This window comes from Homo sapiens, chromosome 1 (genome assembly GCF_000001405.40).
Source record: "Homo sapiens chromosome 1, GRCh38.p14 Primary Assembly".
Lineage (NCBI taxonomy): Eukaryota > Metazoa > Chordata > Mammalia > Primates > Hominidae > Homo > Homo sapiens.
Window position 1 is genome coordinate 3,123,401 of NC_000001.11, and position 10,972 is coordinate 3,134,372.

The 10,972-nt window shown below is 57.6% G+C and overlaps 1 protein-coding gene and 1 non-coding gene across 3 annotated transcripts in view, besides 3 other annotated features; both read left to right on the forward strand.

Annotated features, from left to right (window-relative positions):
• Positions 1-10,972, forward strand: part of PRDM16 (PR/SET domain 16) — a 369,419-nt gene that overhangs the window by 54,198 nt on the left and 304,249 nt on the right. The gene's annotated exons all lie outside the window — the stretch shown is intronic.
• Positions 1,561-2,172: an enhancer, noted in NCBI's record as "H3K4me1 hESC enhancer chr1:3041525-3042136 (GRCh37/hg19 assembly coordinates)". NCBI's record gives its function as "activates a minimal SCP1, AML or CMV promoter by ChIP-STARR-seq in naive H9 embryonic stem cells {active_cell/tissue: H9 hESC(naive)}" and the evidence as "EXISTENCE:reporter gene assay evidence [ECO:0000049][PMID:30033119]".
• Positions 2,785-3,395: an enhancer, noted in NCBI's record as "H3K4me1 hESC enhancer chr1:3042749-3043359 (GRCh37/hg19 assembly coordinates)". NCBI's record gives its function as "activates a minimal SCP1, AML or CMV promoter by ChIP-STARR-seq in naive H9 embryonic stem cells {active_cell/tissue: H9 hESC(naive)}" and the evidence as "EXISTENCE:reporter gene assay evidence [ECO:0000049][PMID:30033119]".
• On the forward strand, positions 4,575-4,635 carry MIR4251 (microRNA 4251). The gene has a single exon (NR_036215.1). It is a non-coding gene; the product is annotated as a microRNA 4251 (primary transcript).
• Positions 4,839-5,764: an enhancer, noted in NCBI's record as "H3K4me1 hESC enhancer chr1:3044803-3045728 (GRCh37/hg19 assembly coordinates)". NCBI's record gives its function as "activates a minimal SCP1, AML or CMV promoter by ChIP-STARR-seq in primed H9 embryonic stem cells {active_cell/tissue: H9 hESC(primed)}" and the evidence as "EXISTENCE:reporter gene assay evidence [ECO:0000049][PMID:30033119]".

A 10,972-nucleotide genomic window follows, 5' to 3' on the forward strand; every position in this document is an offset into this window, starting at 1 on the left:
TGGGTGGCTGAGATCAATGCCCAGGCACGGGTGAAGGGTGTCTGCCAGCAGCTATGTGGAGCCTGCGGCCTTCCTGGAGGAGGGGGCAGCCATTCGGCTACATAAACACCTGCCCCACCTGGTTCACCCTTTCAGCACAGATTGCAGAGTCCCACTCCCCAGTGAGGGGGGCCCAGAGTCTTCTCCAGTGCAGCAGGTGCTGCTGGAACTGGGAGGGGGGGCAGCCCATCCCATGCCCCCTTCCTTGGCATCCAAAGGCCAAGCTGGCGTGAAGCTGGACTCAGGAGATGCGGCTGTGAGGGTGGCAACATCTTTTTCTTCTCATTTGCCTCCCGGTGGCCCGAGAAGCAGGGTGCTCACGGGGTGCCCCAGGGCATTGCCCCAGTGGCGAGACATCAAGTCCGAGCTCCGAGTGGATGAGCTGCGGGGTCTGGGGCAAGGCAGTTGGCCTCTCCTCAACTGGGGACAAGACAGAGACTTGTGTCCTTGTCAAGGTTAAATGAGGCCCTGTCTCCGAGCACCTGGGCTCGGGTGGGGCAGCTCAGCTGCAGTCAGCGTCCCAGATGCGCACCCCACGCCGTATGGTGGGCGTCCGAGTCGTCTCCTTCTCCCAGGCTTTGTGTGGAATGACTTCTCTCTCTGACGCTGCCTTTGGGACCCCATGTTAGATGTGCCCCCACCCGTGAGAACCCCCAAGAACTGCTGGGACCCGGGTGCTTAGGAGGGCAGGGCCGGTGGAGGTGGACAGGGCCGTGGAGCTGGCCACAGTGGCTCCTGGAGTCCTGGGGGTCCTGTCCTCGTACCCTGGCTCAGCCCAGCCTGGGCCCTGAGCTGGAGGCCGGCAGTGGGGACAAGACTTAGATGTTAATTTTAAAATGAAAAGGGAAAGGCCAAGGAAAAGAGGGAGAGAGAGGCCCAGACAGTCTCCTGTTTTGCAGAGAGCTCTTCTGAACTCTGACTGGTTTCCCTGAGTGGTTCTTGGCCTGGCTGGGCTGACCTATGTCTTTCAGCCAGGAACCTCTGCTCCCGTGGCCTCTAAACATGACCCACTGTCCAGGAACTGATCATGGACAGGACAGAGGTGACAGCCCCAGCTTGGCCTTTTGGAAGGCAGCGATGCTTACCACTATAGCACCAATGCTAGGATCAGCTTGGTCCTTTGGCCAACCCTGACCCTTCCATTTGGGAGAGAGCCACCTGCCATGTCCCAGGCCTGGTGTGTGGAGCCACATCTGCGGTCCTGCCAGGCCTTGGAGCGGAAGGAAGAATGAGGGCCGGGGGTCAGGTGTATCTGGGCTTGCATCCCTACTCAGCCTGGTGACAGCCCCTCGAAGCCCCCCTCCACCTAAGGTGGGCCCCAGCAGGATGGGGGGACCTCTATGCCCTTGGTGGCTGATGTGAGGGGTCAGGGTGGGAACATGCCAGCTCCAGGGCCAGGCCTCAATCCACAGCCCCCTCCCTGCTCCCATCCGGGCAGCCCTGTGGGAAGTAGGCTGGAGAAGGGGCCCCAGGTCTCAGGGGTACTGGAAGCGAGCAGCTGCAGTGTGGCCCCTGTGTGTCCTGGGTTCCAGCTCCCGCAATGTTCAGGTTCCTGTCAGCTCCGCAGGAGCCCCCTGGGGCTCTCTGGGCTCTTTGCATGTCTCTGGGAAAACCTGATCAGCTGACCCAAACCAACTACAGTTCTGGCGAGTTTCTCTTTGCCTAAAGCTCTGACATTTCTGCCTCGCTAAGGCACAGTCACCAGCCAAAGGCTGACCATGTGCGCACCCCGCAGCTGCACCTCCTTGAGAATGCTGGGCTTCCTCAGCCAGCGCGCTTCCCGCATCCGTGAATCACTCCGGCTGAGGCTGCTTTCTTAGCGGACGGCCCAGCCCCTGGGCTCTGGGCTGGAGAGGCCTCAGAGCTGGCCAGAGGAGGCCAGCCCAGTGCCCGCTGATTGGATGGGCAAAGAGGACGGTCCTCCTGTCCTTTCTGGAAGTGGGCCTCTGTTCAGCCCAGGTCTCCTCTGACCCCCCAGAGTAGCCACTGTCATCGCCAGGGCACATGGGGAAACTGAGGCCCCCCACTCAGCGGCTGCTGGGCTGTTCGGAAGGGCAGAGTCGCCGGCTCAGCGGGACACACGCTCTGAAGCACAGGCCTCTGGGGGGACCGGCCCTGCCTGGCGCTCGCCAAGGCTCTGGAGGAGCAATGAGTTAGGGGAGCGGCTGTGCAGGTCCCTGGACCGGGCTCCGCTTTTAATTTTTTAAGGGAAGAAAGGAAAACATCCCTCAGTGGCTCTCCCAGGAGCTCAGCCGTGTTTGCTGTCGGTCACGGCAGGTTGGGCCATTTGTAACGAGTTTGGTCTGCGCGGGGGGCACTGACCCCACTACGCCTGGCCCCTCGGAGCGGAGCGCGGCACAGGCGAGGCGCGGCCAAGGGTGCAGGTCCCTGCACTGGCCCGATTCATTAAGGACCGGCTCCTTTGTGGGCCCCAGCTCCAGGCCCATTGCTGTCACGGGGCTGTTACAGGCATAATGACAGGGGCATTAGAGGCCCGAGAGCAATTAACAGGCTGCTTAATTAGCAAGAGGAATTAGCGTTTGAGTGGCGGATCTTCCTGTGAAACCTTGTAGAGAGCCCGGGCAGTTATCTGATTATGCATTGATCGGGCTGGCTCGTCCTTAGGTAATCCTCTCCCTCTTGCAATCTGTGAATATACAACTGTTTAAATATTCCAAACCGAACTGTCTCAATAAACGCGGGGAGAAAGGGGCCATTGTGGGCCCGGGCGCCGCTGGCCGCTCTTCCCGGCCCAGCTCCCCTGGGCTTGCAGAGGCACAGTCGGTCCCCGCAGCTCTCGCCGCCGCCGCACGCGGCCAGCCTGGCTGTGCCTGGGAACAGTGTCGGCCAGTCTGGCCCCAGGCCAGCCCTGGCCACAGGTGCCAATGGCATCCTCCTCCCCAGGTCTCTCCCATGCCCCCGGGGGCTCAGTCCACTGCTCAGGTGGACAGGGCAAGGCCGGAGGAGCTGGCTGCAGGTGCGCAGGAAGGGACAGGCCTGGCTACCTGCAGGCAGCACCTGGGGTCCAGACAGCCCTCAACGAGGGACAGTCAGGTCAGATCAGGTGGACCCAGACCCTGCTGCGGTTCCTGGAATCCCTAGATGAGCTTTGAAAACCCAGGGGCCTGTACCCAATCCCAAGCAGTGGCCTACCGTGCTTGAGCTCTGTGGTGGGCAGAGGGCTGGGGACTGGACCAGGAGCCTCCAGCCCTGGGCTCTGTCAGGGACCCTGCCCTGTAGGGCTGGTGCTTCTGGAGTGAGGGAGGAGTAGACAGGAACCAGTCCTGGAGGTGGGCTCCCCACTGGGCCTGGGACAATGAGGTGCCCATCGCCAGTGATGGTCACAGCACCTCGAAAAGGCAGAGACAGGAAGATTCCAGAAGGGCTTCTGATTCTGTGCAGAAGCGTTGTAGATGGGGCATGGTTGCTCTGGTGTCAGGCCCGGGCCCGCTGTCTGTTCCGGCAAACTTTAGGGGATCGAGAGCTTACTCTGGACTCAGCTGGGAGGCCCCTCGAGCCTGGGAGCAGGGCAGGACCACCATCGGCCCCGGACACAATTGCTAGGGTCCTGTCCTCACACTCTGGCTCAGCCCAGCCTGGGCCCCGAGCTGGAGGCCTGCAGTGGGGACGAGACTTAGATGTTAGTTTTAAAATGAAAAGGGAAAGGCCAAGGAAAAGAGAGAGAGGCCCAGACGGTCTCTTGTTTTGCAAAACTCAAAATAGATTTCAGCACTGTGCTTTCTAAAGACAAATCTTTGCACTCTTCTGCGATCCTCGCTTGACCTCTCATGGTTTCTGGCAAGGACAGCCTGTTACGATTTGGCATCGAGTTATTTAAAATGCATAACGGCGGTGCGCAGGCTTTGCCAAAAGCTGATATATGTTGGTTTCTGGAACCTTGCTTTTCTTGTTTGCTACATCTGATATCATCTTACCCAGACGATGCCCTCGTGAGATAGATCCCCCACCCCTTCACATTGTGGGTGCAGCCAACGTATTTCATTTTATTGCTTGCACGATCTGTGTGTCTGGAGAGAAAGCAAACCAGTTACCAGCGAGCCACAGCCTAGCTTCCCCGGGCACTTGGGGAATCTTTATCGAGCTCAAATGATTAGACCTGGTTTCTGGTTTCATTTTGGAAGACTGGCTGCTAAGCAGATCCATTCTGCCTGTAAACTGATACAGATGCTCAGGGCCACTGCTTTCCCCAGTGCCCAGGACAGTAGGACGAGGGTTGAGAGGGACCCCCCTGGGCCATGTCCCCCTTGCGGTGCAGAGGCCCGGCCTGAATCTCTGAGCGAGAGGCCGGTTTGCCTAGGGTGAGTGTGAAGGCCTGAGGCCTGCCCCATAAAGGCAGAGCGTCCCCATGGTGTGGGGGGACAGTGGGAGGCGGGCAGGCCATGAGCCCTGGGTTCGGGGAGGCTGCAGGCGCTTGGCTGCCCATCAAGGGGCCTGGCTTCCTGGAACAGAAGCCTGGGTGCTGTGGCCATGGAGGAGGGGCTCCCGCCTCTGGTCAGCCTTCTGGCATCTGGGAACACGTCCTCCAGCTTTTTTCCTTAGTGGCCAATTCCTGAGAAAAGGGCCAACGTGCTTCCATCCACTTCAGAGGGCACTTGTATGAAAATCTCCTCCCCTCCCCCGTCAGCCCCGCTGTGGAGGGATCAACTCCGCCTCTCACTGGAGAGAGACAGTCATTCTGAGTGTTCGGAAATTGAAGACTAGATCTGGGTCTGGTTCCGTACCCATGCCCTGTGATGACAGACCCGTGATCTCTCTTCTGAGAGGGAAACAAAGACCTCACGTTTGACGGGGCCAAGAGGCAGCCGTGGGAATCTGCTGCTCACTTTCAACACTGGGTGCCTTGTCCTAGAAAGTCTGGGGTCGTCAGATCAACTTTGATTTCCTATTTTATCCCAGTTAAAGTGGCATTTATAGTATTCGGGGGTTGCTTCTGTCCTGCCTTTTTCTGATCACGACATCCCATGCACGGCTTTGGGAAACGCAGGTCACAGTAGCAGGGCATTGAAAACCCTCCCTCCGCATGGCTCCGCACCCAGGACCCTGGGGTGGCTCCACAGTGGCTCCATTTTCTCCCACAATGGTGACCTGCAGGCTCAGGGCATGAGGGCCGAGGACTCTCACTCGGGAACCCAGAGGGTGATCGGCCACGGTGACCGGCCGGTGAGCTGTGGAAGGAAGCGTCCAGCCCTCTGTGGACTGCCCTGTTCCTCCCACCATGCTACTGGAGACCATCCCACCATGCTACTGGAGACCATCCCACCCGGGTCGGTGGCTGTTTTCCGGTGGTGGCAACGCTCCAATGGCTCTGGTTCCCTTACTGGAATCCTTGGGCGTAGCCTGAAGAGTGGACAGCTATCCACAGCCCAGTGAGTGCCCTGCTGGGAGCTGGAACTGTTCGGCCCTCACTAACACCAGTCCTGGGGAGCCTGCCCTGGCCCCAGGTGGGGGTGCGCAGCCGTGGCCGGCAGCCTTGGTTTCTTCATCTGGGAAGTGGGAGCGACTGTGCAGATGAGATGAGGAGGGTGGCCCTGGGGAGGCTGGGGTGTGGTCGCTGCTCCCCTAGCAGGAAACCAGGAGGGAGTCTGGTGCATGTGTGTGTGGGGGGTTGCGTGTGCATGTGTGTGCGTTTCCTGGCTGGTGTGCGTGCATGGGTGAGTGTGCACGTGCGTGTGTGGGTGTCCTGCCTGGCGTGCGTGTGTGGGTGGGTGTGGATCCTGCCTAGTGTGTGGGTGTGTGGATATGTGTACATGTATGTGTGTGTCTTGGCTGGTATGTGCATGTGGGTGCGTGTGTGTGGGTGTGTACATGTGTGTGTGTGTCCTGCCTGGTGTGTGCGTGTCAGTGTCCTGCCTGGTGTGTGTGTGGGTGTGTGTCCTGCCTGGTTGTGTGTGTGTGCGCACGTGGGTGAGTGTGTGGGTGCGTGTGCACGTGTGTGTGTGTCCTGCCTGGTGTGTGCTTGTGAGTGTGTGTATCCTTCCTGGTGTGCATGTGTCTGTGTGTGCATGTGTGTGTGTGTGTGGCCTGTGCACTCACAACACTGGCTGAACCACAGGGGTGTCGTCCAGGGCTGCTGAGGGCACCTGGGAAAGGAGCCGGGGCAGACCCTCCCTGCTGGGTGCTTGAAGCTGAGGGTCAGGACGGGATGGGGACCCGGGGCCCTTGAAGCAGGTTCTCCCAGGTCCTCCGCAGTTACGTGGGAGAGCCCAAGGGCCCTCAGTGCCACAGGTAGGGGCAAGGTCCTCCTCTAGCACTGCCCAGACCCTGTACGGAGCAGAAATCCCTGGAAGAGAAAAGAGAATTGGGGTTTCAGAACCCCTTTTTCCAAGGAAAGAATTTCTCTGCTCCCAACAGGAGCCTGTCTGATTCTCTTTCCCCCTCTCTGTCTCTCTCTGTCTGATTTTCTCTCCTCTCTCAGTCTCTCTCTCTCCTACTTCCCGCTTTTGCTTTCCCTCTTCCCAGGGCCCCAGCAGGGTCTCAGCCATTTGTATCCACTGAGGGCATCCAAAAGCGTTGATGGGCCAAGGCGACCAGCTGGGCTGGGAGGGCAGTGCAGGCGGCTTGTTCTGGGACAGTGAGGCCCAAGCACCCCAGAGGGAGGTGGAGACCCCCTGGGCAGACTCCTGCTCCCCCAACAGGTCCTGGGCTGCGTGCTCAGTGTCCAGGGTCAGGGGCTTGGGGACAGCTAGTGAGGAAGTCTTGGGTCTTGGTGAGAAGCCAGCAGAGCCCTCTGTCCCTGTCCTGTGCAGGACCAGCCAGACCTGGAGGCCGACTGCCAGAGGGGTTCCTAGGACCCCCGGGCAGGCGATGTGGACCGTGGGGTTCTGGGGAGAAGCTGGGGGCTCCAGGGCTGTGGTCTAAGCGCACCACTGTGCCCCATATCCCAGTGTGTCCTTTGCAAACTACAAACCCAAACCAAACACAACACCAGCCCTGGGGAGGCCAGGATAAGGAGCAAAGGCAGCCGAGAGGTGGGCCCTTCCTGCGGCCATGGGGCTTTGGAAACATGTGGAGACCTAGTTGGCCCCAGAGGCCGTCTCCAGGGCCCGCCCAGCAGCCCAGGGCTGCCCCCTGTCTATAGGTTTCCTCGCTGAAACATCAGTGCAATTTTAATTCACACTGCTGGACTTCAGGGGAGGGCTGATGCTTCATGCGCCCCACGCACAGCTCTGCGCTTTCTGTAACTCGCCGCCTTCTCTTTGGGGACGTTTGTCTTCAGTTTCTTAATTTTCAAGAGCCCATTACAGACGGATGTCACCTCCATTCCCTCAAATACTGTCGCCCTTTTCCCCCGTGAGCTGCATGGCCTTTTCCTTGGTGCGGGGGCGGTGGGGGGGCTGTTTTTTTTTTTTAATTTTTTATCTTTTCTGCTGCCGGCACACGGTTCTGGGTTTCACAGCGTCAGACCCACCAGCCCTTGCTCTATGCTCAGGGCTAGAACGCAGCCGCTTCCTTCTGCAGGTTGTGCCCTGTTCAGGTTAGGTGTGTTCCAGCACCTTCTGAGTTTGTGGGGTGGAGGAGAACCTGACCCGTCCGTGTTTATCCTGACGTGCAGACCGCGGGAGGGACGCTTGAACCGGGTCCTGCAGGGAGGCCCCTGCCCTTGTCTTCTGGCCACGCCATGGTGTGTGGCTGGCTCTGCCCTTGGCTTCCTCCGAGCTGTGCCGCAGCCACAGTTTTTGGTTGTTTTCGTTTTTTTCATCATCCTGATGATCCATATCAAATACTTAAACTCACAGAAAAGCAAGACTCCCTCTCTCTCTCTCAGACATTTCTCGTCATTGTCCAGTTGTCTGCATTTATTTTGCCTTTGAGAAAAACTTTGGAGCTGTTTTCTTCAAGTTAGAAAAAGGTTTATTTTGTAAAATTGTTATGTTTCTGTGTTTGAGTTAGGGGGACTGGACGCTTTATAACCTTTAATTCTTCCTGTGAAGGAATGTGAGGCGGCTGTCCATTTCTCAAGGTTCCTATCAAAATGGCTTTCGCTCACATTTTGTAGTTCCATTCACAGAGCTGTGACCCATTTCTTGCTGGGTTTTACTTCAAAGGATTTTTTAGCCAGAAAGTTAAAAAAAATCAAGTGGACATAATTAAAACTCTTATACTTCTTTATGCCTGTACTGCAGAAAAAATAATAATAAAAATAATGACAGTTCTAGCAACCATGAGCAAAATTTTTGCATGCCATTGGAAAAGCGAGGGTTGGTCACGCCTCTGGTCTGTCCGCTGCATGGTGATAAGCTGAGGCATCCCCATTTGAGGCTGAGGTGATGGTGTGGTGCAGGCCGCAGCTCCAGGCCCCGCAAACCTCACAGGGGAGGCCGTGGCCCAGGCTGCGTCCTGCAGTGACGCTGCCCTGGGGTCTCCAGGCAGCTCTCCTGGGACCCGCCTGCTTCCCCTCCACTGCCTTCCTCCTCCTCCCTCCTGGGCCTATGTCCTAGATAAGCCTGTTAAATTAGCCCCATAATACTTAAAATGCTAGTCCGTTTAATATGTAAACAATGACAATTTTTTTTCAAAGGGTTTAGGATTTAAATTAGTTTTTTTAAAAAACCCAATTACTGCCGTTTAATTCGGAGGAGAGAGTTCTTTATGTGCTAATTATATAGCTGGGAAATGAGCGATCAGGGGCTCAATGGGGCATTAGGGGCACTTTTTAAAGGTTTAGACGTATTTATCTGAGTTTGGGGTTTGCAGTCTGCATTCAGGGCTGCACAGGCAAATTTGGAACCAGGATGAAGGGTTACACGGCGGTGCCACGGAGAGGAAAACTCTGCCATTCCAGCGTGTTATTATCTGGATGATGTTTACGAAGTGTCAGGACCTGGATGTGGTCCCTGCCCAACTGATTCTGTGTCCGGTGAGCAGAGGAGCGGAGCCTGCTGGGTGGAGGGTGGATGGGACAGGGGACCTGGGCCTGGTCAGAGCACTACCTTGGGCCCTTGGGAGGCCTGAGCCTTCCAGAACTTTCTAGAACCTTCTAGAGGGGCACACATGGCCGGCCAGGCAGATGGGCTGCAGGGAGTGGTCTCACCATGGGCAGTTCCTCACCCTGAGTCCCTGGAATGCAGAGGGAGCTCTTCAACTGCTCCAAATGGCTCTCCCCTCCACCCCCCATTACCTTCCTTCCTCCTTACCGAGGGGTCTCTCTGACAGATCTGGAGCCCCCATGAGGTCCAGAATGTTCTAGAGCCACCCGGTTCATACTGTTGCCCGAGAAGTCAACACCTCTGCCTCCCAAGAGAGAGTAGACGATTCATTTAAAATAGAAATTATGTTGGAAGTAAAGTGACCCTTATTTGGTTCAGCAGTTTTTGAACACATCTGATTAGGAATTCCCCGGGGACTGGGTGGGGCAGGGTTAGATAAAAAGCCCTCGTCAGGGTGGCTGGGCAGGGCCATCCAGCCGGTCCACTCACCCGGAACCCCAGCCTCGTGCAAACACAGATACTGTGAATCTGTCCCAGACTTACAGAAGATGGACCTGTAATTGACACTGTGCTGTATTTAACTGCCAAGGATGGTAAATGTCTTCAGGAAACACTGCACCACGTTTTGAAGAAGTTCAAACAGCGTCCGTGCAGCAGGTGCGTTCTGCCGTGCCTCTGACTGGGTGGTGGTCACTGCCAGACTGAGTGGTCCACACCAGCCCCGCACCCTCCAGGACAAAGCCCGAAGGACGGTGGTAACCGGCTTCTGGTGGTGGAGTGCAGCTGGTCAGATGCCTGGGAGACTCAGGTTCCAGGGCAGGAGCTGCAGGAAGACCAGGGAGGTCTCTGCCCATGTCTCTTCTGGAGGCTCCTACAGGAAAATCCAGGGGTTGCTTTTCCCACCGCAAACCATGCCAGACTCTCCCAGGGCGAGGGAGGCACCTCGGGGCTGTGGGCCTGGGGGAGGTTCCTGTAAGACTGTGTTCAGAGGGGATCTTCTCAGCAGAGGGCAGAGCCATGGGGCTCGGCCTCCCGAAGCCACAGCCCTGGAACCACCTGGAGATGATACCCAGGCTCTTGTCTGTCCTGCACGATGGGGAGAGGAGGGCAGGGTCTGTCCAGAACTGCTCCCCAATCGGCCGCCCCTGACAGAAATGATGCCCAGCGACCTTCCCTCCTCCTTACCAAGATCCACCTTGGCAGGGGCCGTGCCATTGCTTGCAGTCCCATCTGATTTCTACAGAAAGCCACGTGGAAGTTGTCCACTCCGTTTTGCAGAGGTTAATGGCTCTCTGAAGTGGTTCAGCTGGGGCTGGCAAGGCTGGGCCCGAGCCAGCTCCTCCATCTCCCCTTCATGTGAGGGAGAAAGCCCCATGAAGTGGCCCGTGCTGCCTGCTGGGAGCCAAGGGTATGCAGGCAAGGGGCCTTTCGCCGCGGGAATTTGTGCACAATTTTTGAACATAAGTCAGTTCCTCCCTTCCCCCAGGAGAAATGATCGGCCTCCAGGAAGTTGGACCTCGCCTTGCTCAAAACAAACATAGGGCCATCTGAGAGCAGCCCCAAAGCACACACGTGTGAGAAGGAGGCTAGAGTTTTACTTTCCTCCCCCAAGACTGCAAAGCACTGGGGAAAAAAGGTCAGGCAGCGCGTCCAGTTCAGGGAGCGTGTCCAGTTGTGTCACGAGTGGGAGACCTGGGTTCAGAACCGTCCAGCTGTGTCGGGAGCAGGAGGCCTGGGCTCAGGACCACCTCTGGGCTCCTGCTGGGACCTTGGAGATCAGCACCTCCCGGCGCTGATGTCCAGTGGGAAGGGGAAGCCTCTACACAGAGGCTCCCACAGAGAGGGGATTGTGTGGAGCTGTCCGGAGCGCCATTCAGCTGGGGGACGGAGCTTCCCTGGAACATAGTGCCCCGCTTGATTCTTGAAGAGAGGACGTGGACAGCAGAGGAGACGCAGGCCTGGGGACGGACAGTTGGGCAGCAGGC